Source organism: Homo sapiens, chromosome 6 (assembly GCF_000001405.40).
Source record: "Homo sapiens chromosome 6, GRCh38.p14 Primary Assembly".
Taxonomy (NCBI): domain Eukaryota; kingdom Metazoa; phylum Chordata; class Mammalia; order Primates; family Hominidae; genus Homo; species Homo sapiens.
The window spans coordinates 149,670,438-149,687,903 of NC_000006.12; the positions used below are offsets into that span (position 1 = coordinate 149,670,438).

Below are 17,466 nucleotides of genomic sequence, written 5' to 3' on the forward strand. Positions count from 1 at the left end.
AGGAGAGTGCTTCATGAAGGGAGAGGCTGCTAAAATTTGGTTCAGGCAGCAGCGTGTGTGAACCCACTACATCTACCATTCCTCAGTCCTGCAGCAGTCATGAAAACCACAGCTTGCCTTCCTGGAGCAGCTCGTTAGTGCCAAGGTGGGCAGTAAGAACTCTGCCCTCCAAAAATTTGAGGTTGTCTATCTTGGTTGGTGTTAGTGATTCCCTGAGGGACTAGCACAGATGCCTGCCTTTCTTTGACCTGCTCTGGCAGATTTAAAGAGACAGAGATCCATTTCTTTTTTTGACCCAGACATTTAAAGAAACATGTCAGGTCACTGGCTTGGGTTATTTGTTTCCTTACTGTTGAGTTTTGAGGGTTCTTTATATATTATAGTTTTAAAAAACCTTTCTTAGCTATGTGATTTGTAAATATTTTCTCCCAGCCTGTAGCTTGTCTTTTCTCTTGACTGTTATCTGTGGTAGAGGGAAAGTTCTTAGTTTTGATGAATTTTTTTTTCTATGGGTCATGATTCTGGGGTCATTTCTAGGAACTCTTTACCTAACTCCAGCCCACAGAGATTTTCTCCTATGTTTTCTTCTAAAAGTACTATAGCTTTAAGCTTTATCTATATATATGTGACTCAGTTTGAGTTAATCTTTGTAAAGGTGTGAGGTCACTTGAGGTTCAGTTGTTTTTTTGTTTGTTTGTTTGTTTGTTTGTTTTGAGACAGAGTCTCGCTCTGTCATCCCAGGCTGGAGTGCAGTGGCATGATCTTGGCTCACTGCAAGCTCTGCCTCCTGGGTTCAAGAGATCCTCCTGCCTCAGGCTCCCAAGTAGCTGGGATTACAGGCATGCACCACCACACTTGGCTAATTTTTGTAGTTTTAGCAGAGACGGGGTTTCGCCATGTTGACTAGGCTGGTCTCAAACCCCTAACCTCAGGTGATCCACCCACCTTGGCCTCCCAAAGTGCTAGGATTACAGGCGTGAGCCACCGCACCTGGCCTGATGTTCAGTTTTTTTGTATACGGCTGACCAGTTTTTTCAATACCATTTGTTGGAAAACTATCATTTTTCCATTTGCACCTTTGTCAAAGATCAAATGGCCATAGTGGTGTGGTCTTATGTCTGCATTCTATATTCTCTTCCATTGATCTAAGTGTGTATCTGTTTGCCACTATCTTACTGTCTACATTATTGAAGCTTCACAGTACATTTTAAAATCAGGTAGTTGAACCCTCCAACTTTTCTTGTTAAAAATCGATTTTGCTATTCTACTTTCTTTGTCCATCCATATAAATTTTAAAATTGACTCACCTATATCTACAAAAAATCCTGTTGAGATTTTGACTGGAGGTGAGTTAAACCTACACATTAATTACAGGAGAAGTTACAGCTTTACTACATTAACTCTTCCAATCAATGAACATGGTATGTGTCTCCACTTATTTAGATCTATGATTTCTTTCTTTTTTTTTTGAGACAGAGTCTCACTCTGTTGCCCAGGCTGGAGTACAGTGGCACTGTACGGGCTCACTGCAACCTCCTCCTCCCAGATTCAAGCTATTTTCCTGTCTCCACCTCCCGAGTAGCTGGGATTACAGGTGTGTGCAGCCACACCCAGCTAATTTTTTTTTGTATTTTTAGTAGAGATGGGGTTTCGCCAAGTTGGCCAGGCTGGTCTCAAACTCCTGACCTCAAGTGATCCGCCCACCTGACCTCCCAAAGTGCTGGGATTACAGGCGTGAGCCACCATACCTGGCCAAGATCTATGATTTCTTTTCTTTTCTTTTTTTTTTTGACATGGAGTCTCGCTCTGTCACCCAGGCTGGAGTGCAGTGGCACAATCTTAGCTCACTGCAATCTTTACCTCCCAGGTTCAAGTGATTCTCCTCCCTCAGCCTCCTGAGTAGCTGGAGTTTATAGGTGCCTGCCATCATGCCTGGCTAATTTTTTATTTTTAGTAGAGACAGGGTTTCACAATTTGGCCAGGCTGGTCTCAAACTCCTGACCTCAGGTGATCTGCCTGCCCTGGCCTCCCAAAGTGCTGGGATTACAGGTGTGAGTCACCATGCCCAGCCTATGATTTCTTTCAGTAGCAATTTGCATACAAATCTTGCTCATGTTCTAGATTTATAACAAAGTATTTTATGTCAGAGGAGCTATTGTGAATGGTATTGCTTTTAAATTTTAGTTTCCAGTTTTCATTGCTTAAATATAGAAATAGATGGATTTTGGCCGGGCGCAGTGGCTCACGCCTGTAATCCCAGCACTTTGGGAGGCCGAGGTGGGTGGACCACCTGAGGTCAGGAGTTCAAGACCAGCCTGACCAACATGGTAAAACCCAGTCTTTACTAAAAATACAAAATTAACTGGGATGGTGGCGCATGCCTGTAGTCTCAGCTACTCAGGAGACTGAGGCAGGAGGCTCACTTGAACCCAGGAGGCAGAGGTTGCAGTGAGCCAAGATAGCACCATTGCACTCCAGTCTGGGCAACAAGAGTGAAACTCTGTTTCAAAAAAAACAACAACGAAGAAATGGATAGATTTTATGTGTTATTCTTGTACTTTACACCTATAGATTCCCTGGGATTTTCTATATAGAAAATTATATCATTTTTGAATAGGGGAAGTTTTTATTTTTTACTTCTTCCTTTTCTTTTCTTTTCTTTTTTTTTTTTTTTTTTGAGATAGGATCTTACTCTATTACCCAGGCTGGAGTGCAGTGGTATAATCATGGCTCACTGCAGCCTTGACCTCCCCAGGCTCAGGTGATCCTCCCACCTCAGCCTCGTGAGTAGCTGGGACTACAGGTGCACACTGCCATGCTCGGCTAATTTTTCTATTTTTTTTGTAGAGACACGGTTGCGCCATGTTGCCCAGGCTGGTCTCCAATTCTTGGCTCAAGCAATCCACCCGCCTTGGCTTACCAAAGTGCTAGGATTACAGGCATGAGCTACCGCGCCCAGCCCTTTTATTTCTTTTCATTGCTGTATTATGCTGGCTAAGATTCCAGAACATAGAATTGATGAGAATGGACATTCCTGCCTTGTTCTCAACCTTAGGGAGAAAGCATACAATTTTTTTTCTCTCTCTCATACACCTACACACAAATATATTCAAATGAAGACAAAATAAAGATAATTTCAGACATACCTGAGACAAACCTGAGAGAATGCCTTATCAGCAGACCTATACTATAAAAAATCCTAAAAGAAGTTTTAAAATGTAAAACCATTTCTTTTTTTTCCTTTTTTTTTTTTTGAGATAGAGTCTCACTCTGTCGCCCAGGCTGGAGTGCAATGGCGCGATCTCGGCTCACTGCAACCTCTGCCTCCCAGGTTCAAGGAGTTCTCCTGCCTCAGGGCCTCCATATAGCTGGGACTACAGGTACCAGCCACCATGCACGGCTAATTTTTGTATTTTTAGTAGAGACGGGGTTTCACCATGTTGGTCAGGCTGGTCTCGAACTCCCGACTTCAGGTGATCCACCCGCCTCAGCCTCCCAAAGTGCTGGGATTACAGGCATGAGCCACCACACCCGGCTAATGTAAAACCATTTCTATATTAAATGCAATGACTGAAGAAGTTATAGCTTAAGAAAGGTGGAAATCAAAGAAACGATGGAATCTCAGGAAACTCTCAAAGAATAATTTGTTTTTTTTAGACAGAGTTTTGCTCTTATTGCCCAGGCTGGAGTGCAATGGTGTGATCTCAGCTCACTGCAACCTCTGCCTCCTGGGTTCAAGCAATCCCCGTGCCTCAGCCTCCCAAGTAGCTGGGATTACAGGGGCGCGCCACCACACCCAGCTAATATTTGTATTGTTAGTAGAGACAGGGTTTCACCATGTTGGCCAGGCTGGTCTCAAACTCCTGACCTCAGGTGATCCACCTGCCTTGGCCTCCCAAAGTGCTGGGATTATAATAGGTGTGAGCCACCACACCCAGCCAAATTTTTTATTTTTTGAGATGGGATCTCACTCTGTCACCTAGGCTGGAGTGCAGTGGCACAAATATGGCTCACTGCAACGTCTCCTAGGCTCCAGTGACCCTCCAACCTTAGCCTCCCAGGTAGCTAGGACCACAAATATGCATTACCATGCCTGGCTAAGTTTTTTGTATTTTTTGTACAGAGGGGGTTTCACCATGTTGCCCAGGCTGGTCTCAAACTCCTGGGCTCAAGTGATCTGTCTGCCACGACCTTGCAAAGTGTTGGGATTACAGGTGTGAACCACTGCACCCATCCCAGCACTTTGGGAGGCTGAGGTGGGTGGATCACTTGAGCCCAGGAGTTTGAGACCAGCCTGGGCAACATGGCAAAACCCTGTATCTACAAAAAATACAAAAAAAAATGCACCTGCGGTCCCATCTACCCAGGAGGCTGAGATAGGTCATTTGAGCCAGGAGACAGAGGTTGCATGAGAGGAGATCACGCCACTGCATTACACCCTAGGTGAAATGTTTTGACCTTATCTCAAAATAAATAAAGTGCTGGGATTACAGACATGAGCCATCATGTCTGGCCCTCAAAGAATAATTAAGAATGATCAGGAGGCCGAGGCGGGCAGATCACAAGTTCAGGAGATTGAGACCATCCTGGCCAACACGGTGAAACCTCGTCTCTACTAAAAATACAAAAACTAGCTGGGTATGATGGCGCATGCCTGTAATCCCAGCTACTCGGGAGGCTGAGGCACGAGAATTGCTTGAACCCAGGAGGCAGAAGTTGTAGTGAACTGAGATCACGCCACTGCACTCTAGCCTGATGACAGAGCAAGACTCTGTATCAAAAAAAAAAAAAAAAAGAGAGAATGACCAAGAGTTAATTAGACTTCAGAAAGGAGGAAGGGTTATAGAAGAGAGAGATGGAAGTAGGACATTCCAGACAGAGGGAACGGTATGAACAGAGGGCAAATTTCAACTTTAACCCACGGACAATCACTAAAGAGTATTAAATCAGACAGTGTATGGTCAAAATTGTGGGTAACTTCTCATTTAAGTGCCAGAGGTATTTTCAAGTGGGGATATAAACATTTGTTTGTAGTTTGCATAGAAGGAGACAAGGCCAGGAGGCAGTAGGTGACAAAGAGTAAACTGGACTAAATCTTCAAAATGGACTAAAGACCTTTTTGTTTTGTTTTGTTTTGTTTGAGGAGTTTCGCCCTTTCACCCAGGGTGGAGTGCGATGGCAAGATCTTGGCTCACTGCAACCTCCGCCTTCTGAGTTCAAGGGATTTTCCCGCCTCAGCTTCCCAAGTAGCTGGGATTACAGGCGCCTGCCACCACACCCCGCTAATTTTTGTATTTTCAGTAGAGACGGGGTTTCGCCATGTTGGCCAGGCTGATCTCAAACTCCTGACCTCAGGTGATCCACCCGCCTACACCTCCCAAAGTGGTAGGATTACAGGCATGAGCCACCGTGCCTGGCCTAAAGACCTTTTTGAGAATGATATATGATATATGAGTATGCTGTATGAGTGAGGGGGGATACAAGATTATGGGGATATGGCATCATGGAGACTGGAGTTCACGCATGCAATTCTGGTGAGTTCCTATACCCTTACAAGTTCATTCTTTTCCTTTTTTAAATTAAAAAATATTTGTTTGTAGAGATGTGGTCTCACATTGTTGCCAGGCTGATCTTGAACTCCTAGGCTCAAGCAATCCTCCTGCCTCAGCCTCCCAAAGAACTGGCATTATGGGTGTGAGCCACTGCACCCGGCCCAAGTTCATTCTTTAACTCCAGACTAAAATGCTCTACGTACTAATAAATAAAAGTCAATGATGTAGCAACTTTGTGAGAATTCTTTTGATATAGATGCCATACCTTACCTTCATTTGTGTTTCTAATGGTGTTTGTGCCAAGAAAGGAGGTTGTCCCACCAACATTTCAAAAAGAATAACACCAACACTCCACCAATCACACAACTGTGTGTATCCTAAAATAACAAAGTTATTTATAAGCACTTTAAAAATGCTCAGAATACAATAAAAATTAACATTAAATCACCAATTTATACTTTAAAATTAATACTTTTATTATAAGCCTGAAAAATAAGGCATATTCTAGTGTCGTTTTGGCTGGTCTAAAGGTCTACTGAGAATATATATGAAAGAAGTGCTTTACCTGTTCGTAGCAACACTTCAGGTGCAATATAATTGGGAGTCCCAACCAAAGAATGTGCTAGACATCGCTGGTGCTGGCGTGCAGCTCTCCGCTCTAATGGCTTCAGTCTGTCTCCACATCGACAGCTTGAGGGATCCCCCCATTCATTACTGAAATCCATGCTATCTTGCCGTGGATGGTCACCTGCACAACAAAAGAATAAGTAAATAAAGTCAACAATGACAACAGTAAACCTGAAGTCTATTTAATCTTCTGACATCGTGGTTTAGGGTTAACAACATTCTCCCTTGTGACAAACTAAGACACAATGTATGCCAAATCACTGATGGTGTTTATTACCAATTAGAGCCTATTTTCTGAGATGTCAATAGGAAGGATTTTACACTTAAAAAAAATTAGCCTAAGATTTAGTAATTTATGCAATGTTAAATAACAACAATATGAGTCATGGGGAGATTAAGAGTTTGTTATTTAGCCCACTCCCTGTTACTACTCTGGACAAACTTTCAAACAAATTAGATCCATCTTTCATTCAATAAATGACAGTGATAATAAGACAAAGCTCTGGTTACATTCTAGTAGGAAAAGAAACAAAACAATTACACATATAAGGAACAGTGACATACCCTACACAGAGAATCAACACAGGGTGATGTAACAAATGTGACTGGATAGCTACATAAGACTGAATGGCTAGGGAAGACCAGTTAAGAAGGTGACTTCAGCTAAACCGTAAAAAAACAAGAAGGACTCAACCATTTATAAATCAGGATTAGGTATTCCACACAGAAATAACAGCAACAGAGAGAAGACCAGCACAGCTGATAAAGGGGAGAACTGTAGGAAATGGGGCAAGAACTGTAAGAAATGCGGCAGGAATACATGTGGGTTTTGCAAGCAATAGAAATGGTCTGCCTTTTACCTCAAGTAAAGTGAGAAGATATTGCAGAGTTCGAAGCAAGAAGATAACAGTATCTGATTTATGCTTAAAAAAAAAAGTTCTTTATGGGTCATGTGAAGTTTGAAAGGCCTATTTGAAATCCATGTGAAGATAGCCAGGAAGCAGCTGGATAGAGAAATTACGAATTTCAGAGAAAGGCCATTTCTGGAGAGAGAGATTTGGAATTCATTGACATATAGATGGCATGAAGTCACCTAGAATATAAGAAATTAACCTAACTGTAATATTTATCTGGGATGTTTGATTAAAATATGATTTCCCTTTGGGAGGCCAGGGAGGGTGGATCATGAGGTCAAGAGATTGAGACCATCCTGGCCAACATGGTGAAACCCCATCTCTACTAAAAATACAAAAATTAGCTGGGTGTGGTGGAGCACACTTGTAATTCCAGCTACTTGGGAGGCTGAAGCAGGAGAATCGCTTGAGCCCAGGAGATGGAGGTTGCAGTGGGCCGAGATCGCGCCACTGCACTCCAGCCTGGCAACAGACCAAAACTCCGTCTCAAAAAAAAAAAAACAAACAGGCTGGGCGTGGTCGCTCACGCCTGTAATCCCAGCCACTTTGGGAGGCAGAGGCAGGCAAATCATGAGGTCAGAAGATTGAGACCGTCCTGGCTAACACGGTGAAACCTGGTCTCTACTAAAAATCCAAAAAAAAAAAAAAAAAAAAAAAAAAAAAAATAGCCGGGCGTGGTTGCCGGCGGCTGTAGTCCCAACTACTCGGGAAGCTGAGGCAAGAGAATGGCGTGAACCTGGGAGGCAGAGCTAGCAGTGAGCCGAGATTGCGCCACTGCACTCCAGCCTGGGCAACAGAGCGAGACTCCGTCTCAAAAACAAACAAACAAACAAACAAAAAACAACAAAAAGATTTCTATGCCCCAGTGAAGATTTTTGATCAAAAGATGGGAATAGAGCCTAGGAATCATATTTTTAAGAAGCTTTCCAGGTAATAATTCAGTCGAATCTGGGAAGACACTAAATTCCACTATGTCGAACATTAAAGTAGGTTCAATTGTCTCAGTTCTACCCATTTTAATGTCAATCTACTTGTGTTCACAGAAGCACAGGAGGCTAATAATACTTACCTCAGAGAATTGTTGCGAGCATATTAGAATATATGGTTAAGCACCTAGTACATAGTATTTAACAAATGTTAGATTGACTTACACTTCCATTAGCGCTTGGAGGGATCTTGGTGAGGCAGTGTGGTGTAGTAGAAATAACATGGGCCCTGAAATCAGACAAACCTGGGTTCAAAGCCTAGCCCTTACACTTGATTTCTGTCTGACCTTGGGCAAGTTACTTCATCTAACTAGGTCTCAGTTTCTTCATCCTGCCTCACAGTGACATTGTGAGGATAAAATAGGATCAAGGATCATAAAGTGTTTAGGGTTATATAAGTTGTGTAACAGTCATGTAATGAAATCCTAAATAGTAGTGAAAATAAATGTTACAAGCAATAACATGGAGGAACCTCAAACAAGTCAACACAAAGAATATATATAGATTATATTTAAATAAAGGTTAAAGAGTAGGCAAAATGAAATAATATATTATTTAAAGATATACACATTTGTGATAAAAGGATCGATAAAAGTAAAGAACCGATTATAAAGTTCTGAAATAATAATTATCTTTGTGGAGGAGAAAAGGGGAAGTGATTGTTTAAGGGCTTCTAAAGTACTGATAATCTAGTTCTTTAACTGAATGTTGGATATGAGGATTCATTAAAAAATTATTTTAAAAATGTTTTTGGCCAGGCGCAGGGGGCTCACACCTATAATCTCAGCACTTTGGGTGGCTGAGACAGGTGGATCACCTGAGGTCAGGAGTTCGAGATCAGCCTGGCCAACATGGTGAAACCCCATCTCTATTAAAAATACAAAAATTAGCCGGGCGTACTGGCAGGTGCTTATAATCCCAGCTACTCGGGAGGCTGAGGCAGGAGAATCACTTGAACCCAGGAGGGGGATATTGCAGTGAGCCAAGATGGTGCCACTGCACTCCAGCCTGGGCGACAGAGCGAGACTCCATCAAAAAAAAAAAAAAAAAAAAATTGTTTGTCTGGCATATTTTCAAATAAAATGTAAAAGGTGTGACTCAAAAATGTTAATAATATTTAGAAACAATCAAGTCTAGCACATTCTTTCATTTCATAAGTCTAAACAATCAAGTCTAGCACATTCTTTCATTTCATAAGTCTAAGTGCCTAATGGAGTCACCCAAGTTTATCCAACAGAATCAAGACCTGACCCACATCTTCTGGCTCTCATCCAGTGATGATACCATCTTATATTTTACTACATCAATAAATTACATTATTATGAACAAACTAAAATAAATTTTATGAGTTTACTTACCACTCTGATAGTACTTAGAATCGTGTGTCCATCTGAAGCCAGTGCAGAGGCCAAAGTCAGTCAATTTAATATGACCATCACGATCAATCAAAATATTATCAGGTTTAATATCTCTATGAATAAAACCCATTTTATGAACACTTTCAACTGCACAGGTAAGTTCTGCTATGTAGAATCGTGCCAGACTTTCTGGAAAGATGCCCATTCTAATTAATAGGCTCATCATATCACCCCCAGGAATGTAGTCCATTACAAAGTATAAATTGTCCTTATCTTGGAATGAATAATATAGACGAACTACCCATTCATTGTCAGCTTCAGCCAGGATATCTCTCTCAGCCTTAACATGAGCGACTTGATTTCGAAGAAGAACATCTTTCTTTCGAAGAGTTTTTGTTGCATACAAAGCCTTAGTATCTACTTTTCTTGCTAGACAGACTTCACCAAATGCTCCTATTCCTAGTGTCTTTATCTTCACAAACATAGACTTGTCCATTTTAGCCCTTTTAAGACGGATGTAATTAGATTCTTTTTGGCAAAGCATCTTTCTCATTTGATCCTGGGCATCTTGAGATAATCCAACCTAGGCAAATAAACTAGATGTTAAATAAGAATTATCTTCTTCAATATTGAATATTAAGAAATAGCTTGGGAAAAATTCAGGCATATATTTAAAGGTTAAATGCATAATTTTTAATAAAGCATGTTAGAAATCTAGAAAACATTTCAAAGGAAATTAATGATCAAAAGTGCAGCCTAAGGGGTAGTTAAAAGGATATTCAAAGTGAGTACCTATGCAAATTCAGCTGTGGAGTGCAAGAAGAGGGTACCAGATGAGTAAGCTTTCTACTCTTCTCTAATGCACTCCGAAAAAAAAAAAAAAAAAGGTTCTCAATGTGCAACAAACATCTGTTAACATGTTAACATGCATATTCATTTATCTCTCTGTATATGCTTCTCTTGGTGGAATGCCTAGGCCTCAAATATTCTTCCTATTTTGTCTTTCATGAAAAAAAATTCTTCCACTCCAGGCTCATTTATTCTAAAAAATTAATGTACCAAAGAACAACAAAACAATGCCTTTTCTAACCCACCAATCCTTTCCCTATTCTCAATAAATATACAACAGTCATTAATAATCTTTCCTTTTCTATTTTTCAGGGCATCAGAGTAAAGGTGCGACTCACAGTCTACCACTAACACAAATTGCAAAGGGTTTCTCCTACTTCGAAAAGAACAACCTGGTTGTTTACAAGATATCCTTTGGATACTTAGGAATACTTCAGTGTGACTCATGAAAATATCAAAAAATAGATTAAAAACAAAAACTAACTTCTAAGTATTATAGATATGGAATGCCTGGATTTAGAAGGGAGAAACATTTTGGCTAATTAATAAAGAATTAATTAAAGGGTTTAAATAGAAAAGAAATCCAGTTGGAAAAGTGGGGTCTAATTCTAGAAATACAAGACTAAAATAGAACAACCACATGCTTCTGTTAGGATTCACATTTGCATGCAAAATCTTTTAAGAAGGATGGCATGCCAGACTTAGTTCAGAACTGTTTCTCTTAAAATCTTACTTGCCTACACAGTAATGGAGACTACAGAAGTCAGCAAAGCTTCCAACACCATAAAAGTTTAAATCAGCTATTAGTGAAAGTGAAGAGGAAAAAGGAAAAATAAACTAAGAAAATACACATAGGCAGACTTTAGTAAGAAATCCTAAGAATTAAAATATGGATAAGTCATAGAAATTATTATGGTATTTCTCATTTAATAAAATATAAAATAGAAATAACAATACTGTAAAATCAGATTTATTAAAATCATTTTAAAAGAATGGTTCAAGTATATAAAGGTGTTTAATCACAAGGTTAAGCCTCTTGGATTGTGAGTGACAGATGTAAGATTAGGAGTCAAATCTTTGAACTCTAAGCATATGATAAAAACAATAATGGCCAGGCACAGTGGCTCATGCCTGTAATCCCAGTGCTTTGGGAGGCAGACGCGGGTGGGTCATGGCGTCAAGAGATCAAGACCGGCCTGGCCAACATGGTGAAACCCCGCCTCTACTAAAAATAAAAAATTAGCTCAGCGTGCTGACGGGCGCTTGTAGTCCCAGCTAGTGGGGAGGCTGAGGCAGGAGAACTGCTTGAACCCGGGAGGCGGAGGTTGCAGTGAGCTGAGATGGCGCCACTGCACTCCAGCCTGGCGACAGAGTGAGATGTCGTCTCAAAAAAAAAAAAAAATGATGATCGTACTACCTTAATATCTAGAGATCTATGTGGAATGACAACACAGATTAAAGTGTGTTTACTTACTCTGATCTCCCTTTTAGTATAGTTTCACTAAATAATTTTAGCACATTTTTCTCCAGTATATTATAAAAATGAAATGAGAAGGGAGATATAACTGAAGGAAACTTCTTTACACTTTTTAATAAGATATATGTGATGAATAAACCTATAAACTCCAAATTTTCTAAAAGTAAATGTTTTATAAGTATATCAAGAGATGAGACCCACGTATTTCTTTTTTCTTTTTTTTTTTTTTTTGAGACGGAGTCTCACTGTCGCCCACACTGGAGTGCAGTGGCGCGATCTCGGCTCACTGCAACCTCCGCCTCCGGGGTTCACGCCATTCTCCTGCCTCAGCCTTCCAAGTAGCTGGGACTACAGGCGCCCGCCACCATGCCCAGCTAATTTTTTTTGGTATTTTTAGTAGAGACGGGGTTTCACTGTGTTAGGCAGGATGGTCTCGATCTCCTGACCTCATGATCTGCCTGCCTCAGCCTTCCAAAGTGCTTTGATTACAGGCGTGAGCCCCCATGCCCCAGCCTGAGACCCACATATTTCTAGTTTATTTTTAAATGTTGTAAGATATTGTATGAAGCCTAGAAGACAACCCTTCCTCCAATTTTCATATAAAGGTATTATGTACACCTAAACTGTATACCGCAAATTATATTTTTCTTAATTTACACGAGATTTTATTATAGGAAATTCTGAATAAATATTGAAATACTAAAATAAAATGCTACAATCAAAAGTACTTTAATATTTATTCACTTTTAAATTCCATAACTGATAATATATTTTATTTAGCTATAAAAAGAAAGAAAAATACTGGACACAATATTTTAAAATAAACACCAAGCAAACAGATGATTAAGTATAAAAATGGACATTTTAAAAGGTTTTACCCGCATCATTTCATTCTCTAATTGTTTTTTACGATGTAGACGCTGCTGATGAGATTTGAGTACATTTTCTACATGTTGCTCCATAAAGAATTTAAATGCTTGAGGAGAATAACTTTGAATACGAGATTCCCTTCGCTCTTCATCTTTCTTGTTTTTCCTAACAGTAATAGGTGAAGTTGTAATCTGTTTCTTTTCTTTATCCCCACTATCAACATTTTCATAACTCTTTTCACTCTCATCTTCCTTGGGCAAGCTTGGCTGATCCTCTTTGCTAGGCTTACTGATTGACTCGTATGGAGGAACAGATGGGTTTTGGTGCAGCAGATGTTTTGGGTAGGGTGGTGGTGGTCCTTGATAGTTTGGAGCTTCAGCAACAGGTGGCATCACAGTCACATTTGAAGCGGTTCCCTCAGGAAAAGGACTGGGTTGAACAGTTTGAATTGGCTGTGGTATCCAAGAAGGGTGTGTAGGTGCTAAAGCAGTCTGTAGCTCTGGTTTTAATACACGCATACTTTTCACAGGCTGTTGAATAGGAGCTGGTGTAATTGCAGTGACTGTTGTAGCAGAAGGCTGAGAATTAGCAGAGTGACTTGCTCTATTTCCTAATGGGTTATTAAAAGAATTTGACCTCACTGGTATGTTAGGTTGCCATGTAGGGATTTCATGCCCACTGCTCGGGGATGACTGGGCTGGAGCAGAAGATGACTGAGGCCAATTTGTTTGCAGTCCAGGTACACTAATGTTATATAGTTCCATGTTATGACTATTTCTGTTTGGCACCATCATAGACTGAGGAATACTTCCATTTGTATATGACGAAGGAGCAGCAGATCCCCCTGTTTGTAAAGCAGAAGGGCTTTGTCCATTAGCTGCTGTCAGAGGATATGGAGGTGGTGGCTGCCGATTCACAGTGCCAGCAGGGACAACATTTTGGTGTATCATGAAATCAGTTTGTCCAGTACCATTCTGCATTCCAGGTCTCCCTGATGGAAAGTTAAATTTGCTAGAACTCTGCATGATGATTGGTTGTCTGCCAACAGGAACAGAACTAATGCCTCTCTGTCCTTGATTAGGAGGATTCATGGGGGAAGTGTTGAGAGGTGGTGGAGGATAGCCCTCTTGCCATGCCCCAGGTGGGACAGGAGAGATTCGGGAGATTACGTATTCCATGTTTCCAGAATAGCGCTTTGTTTGAGAGTTTGGTTCCCATGAAGGGGGAGGTGGAGTTGTACCTCTTGGAGGGGGAGTCTGGCCTCTTGGAGGTGGTGGAGGAGTAACACTCCTTACTTGAGGTGGTGGTGGGGGGTTCACTCTCTGTCCGTTGCTAGGGTGAGCTTGAACAAATGCTGATATACCAGATCCAGACAAAGGTCTTCCTACATCTGTCTGTGAGTTGGGACTCTCAGAATGATAGGCCACACTTTCTCCTAGTGGCGGGCCATGCCTCTGAGGAACTAAGGATTCTTTAGAACCTTTCCAGCTCTGTTTGCGGTTAACTGATTGCTGCACATTCCCTATGGTTATAAGAGAGATAAAGAGAAAAAAGAATCATGTTTTTAACCTCTAATTTTTGAAAACCTTAGCTTGCAATTCTGATATTACAAATGATACTCAATTCTCTTTCAAGAATTATAAAAATATAAAAAAGTTCAAGTGATCTCTTGTACAAAATGGTGACTGTAGTTAATAACAACGTATTGTACTCCTGAAAATTGCCGAGAGTAAATTTGAAGTATTCTCACTACAAAAAAATGATATGTGAGGTAATAATACATGTTATTTGGCTCAATTTAGCAAAAAAAGAAAAAAAAGAGTTATAAAAATAAAATTTCACTAAGTGGTTTCCTTTTACCTTTTAGAATTTTATTTATTTTTGACCAGGCGTGGTGGCTCACGCCTGTAATCCCAGCACTTTGGGAGGCTGAGGTAGGCAGATCACTTGAGGCCAGGAGTTCGAGACCAGCCTGGCCAACATGGTGAAACTCCATTTCTACTAAAAATACAAAAAAATTAGCCAGGCGTGGTGGTGTGCACCTGTAGTCCCAGCCACTCGGGAGGCTGAGGCAGGAGAATTGCATGAACCAAGAAGGCCAACGCTGCAGTGAACTGAGATCGTGCCACTGCACTCCAGCCTGGGTGACAGTGCAAGACTCCATCTCAAAAAAAATATATATATATTTTTGAAGAGATATAATTTCATATATATGCATGTATATTTGTAGATAAATTATTAGAGGTAGCATTATTAGGCCAAAGGGCGTATCTATTTGTAATTTTCATAGCTCTACTGATTTTAAATATATTTTAATATATATCTATATTTTTAAATTGAGACAAAGTCTCACTCTGTCACCCAGGCTGGAGTGCAGTGGCACAGACTCACTGCAACCTCCGTCTCCCGGGTTCAAGTAATTCTCCTTCCTCAGCCTCCTGAGTAGCTGGGACTACAGGCGCACGCCACCACGCCCAGCTAACTTTTGTATTTTTAGTAGAGACGGGGTTTCGCCATGTTAGCGAGGCTGGTCTTAAACTCCCGACCTCAAGTGATCTGCCCTCCTAAGCCTTCCAAAGTGCTGGGATTACAGGTGTGAGCCACTGCACCTGGCCTTTTAATATGGTTTTTAAAACAGAAAAAGATAGTAGGCTATAATTAGCTGAATATTAAATAAAGTATAGATTTTACAGAAACTGTCTTTAACGGAATTTCCAAATCAATAAAACAAGCAAAAAAAAAAATACAATACCAAAAAAAGAGAAGTATTTAAAATAGAATAGTCCAGCCACTTAGGAAAAATATACAAGATACACTGGTATAAAGACAATACATATATACATTCTAGAAAGACTAAAGGTTTAAATATTAAAGATGAAATCATGTAAGCACTAGAAAAAAACAAAAGACCATTCAATAGTATTGGGGTACCTCTTGCGAATGTCTTCCCAGGCATGACAAAAGTAGAGATCTAAATACAAACACTCATTACCATTAAAAACAAAACAAAAAAGAATACTAATAAATTTGAAAGGTCAACATCATCCTGGGCAAAAATATATCTAACAATACATCTGAGAAAAAAAGTGGTAAAATGTGGTAAATGTTCATAATGTTCAGTTTAACACTCCCTTTCATCTAGGCTGGACAGCATTTTGGGTCTACATTCTCGAAGCAGGAGCCAGACGAAAAGCAAGTGAGTAAATAATGTTTGGGGAACATTATCATTCCGGATAAACTGGACAAGTCCTCTGGCCATCAGGCTCTTTCTCACTTTCCTCAGAGGCCAGCTGAGGCCAAATACACCATGTCACTCATTCAGCTTTTAGAGTATACAGTCACCCCTGTTGTTCTGCGCCTCCCACAGAGCTCTCCATGTTCTTCCACTTCCCGAACCTTTCCACCATGCCCTCCGGATCCACTCGGCTCCACAGCCAGCAAATGTGCCTTATCAGTAACCTCTCCTCCAAGCTTTCCTGCCACCTCCTTGAAGCTGGTTTTCTTCTGCTGATACTACTTTCCTTTCAGCCCTTTGAAATTAAGGTTTCCTTTAAAAATAACCTGGCCTAAAGATGGGGTTCTAACATTTGTTCTTACAGGTTGATATTATTCCTTTTAAAAAGCCAGCTCTTTTGAACTTCATGCTATGTGGGAGGCCACACTAATTCCTCTCACCTAATGAGCTCCTGCCTATTTGCTCTATTTCATTCAGCCACAGCTTCAGCATTCAGTCTACCCTAAGCCCTGCCTTCATCCTGTAACCTCAATAACCACGAGGATAAACCATCTATTGCCCTCATATCTCAGCTTCTTGACGTCCCCTCTTCCACTCCACATCAAGTATCATTCTCATGATTGTATTTCAAACTTTGGTATTACTCATATCTGCTCTTGTTTCAGAATAACTACTTTAAGGTTTATACGCTTATACTCCCAGACCACAACTACTTCTTCTGTTTACTCCTACTGCAAAAGTTTTTAAACTTTATTAAGTAGCAACCTCACCAAGATCTCCAAGATTTTTATTTTTTTTTTTTTGAGACAGAGACTTGCTCTGTCGCCCAGGCTGGAGCGCGGTGGCATGATCTCGGCTCAGCGAAACCTCTGCCTCCTGGGTTTAGGCGATTCTCCTGCCTCAGCCCCCTGTGTAGCTGGGATTACAGGCAGGTGCCACCACACCCAGCTAATTTTTGTATTTTCAGTAGAAATGGGGTTTCACCATGTTGGTCAGGCTGGTCTTGAACTCCTGACCTCAGGTGATCCGCCCACCTCAGCATCCCAAAGTGTTGGGATTACAGGCATGAGCTACCGCATCCAGCCAACATCTCCAAGGTTAATCCCCTACTTTATCAGTCCTCCTTTTTCTTATTTTTATTCTTTTGAGACAGTCTTGATGTCACCCAGGCTGGAGGGCAGTGGCATGATCATGAATCACTGCAGCCTTGAACCCCTGGGCTCAAGCAATCCTCCCACCTCAGCCTTCCAAGTAGTTGGGATTACAGGCATGCATCACCATGCCCAGCTAATTATTTTATTTATTTATTATTGTAGAGATGGTATCTAAGTTGTCCAGGCTGGTCTCAAACTCCTGGGCTCAAGTGATCCTCCTTCCTCAGCCTCCCAAAATGCTAGGATTATAGGCAGGAGACACTAAGCCTAGCCTATTTTTAAAACTTTTTGTAGAGACGGGGTCTCCCTAATATACCCAGGCTGGTCTCGAACTCCTGGCTTCAAGCAATCCTCCCACCTTGGCCTCCAAAGTGCTGGGATTACAGGCGTGAGCCACCGTACTTGACCCTCCTCTTTTTTTTTTTTTTTTTTGAGGCGGAGTCT

General features: G+C 40.9%; 1 protein-coding gene across 18 annotated transcripts in view; it reads right to left on the reverse strand.

The window, feature by feature from the left end:
- The window catches only part of LATS1 (large tumor suppressor kinase 1), a 59,949-nt gene that overhangs the window by 12,285 nt on the left and 30,198 nt on the right, over nucleotides 1-17,466 (reverse strand). For 14 of the 18 annotated variants that reach the window (NR_073033.2, NM_001350392.2, NM_004690.4 and 11 more), the window contains 4 exons: nucleotides 12,642-14,155; nucleotides 9,438-10,020; nucleotides 6,118-6,300; nucleotides 5,823-5,929 (listed from right to left, as the gene is read on the reverse strand). Coding sequence is in view for 16 of the 18 variants with exons in the window: in NM_004690.4 (NP_004681.1) it covers nucleotides 5,823-5,929; nucleotides 6,118-6,300; nucleotides 9,438-10,020; nucleotides 12,642-14,155 (2,387 nt within the window). In the remaining 2 variants the exon portion in view is untranslated. Of the gene's footprint in view, nucleotides 1-5,822; nucleotides 5,930-6,117; nucleotides 6,301-8,244; nucleotides 8,309-9,429; nucleotides 10,021-11,023; nucleotides 11,087-12,476; nucleotides 14,156-17,466 lie in introns of those variants that run through there. The other 4 variants (XM_006715603.4, XR_007059386.1, XM_047419522.1 and 1 more) reach the window with 4 other exon arrangements.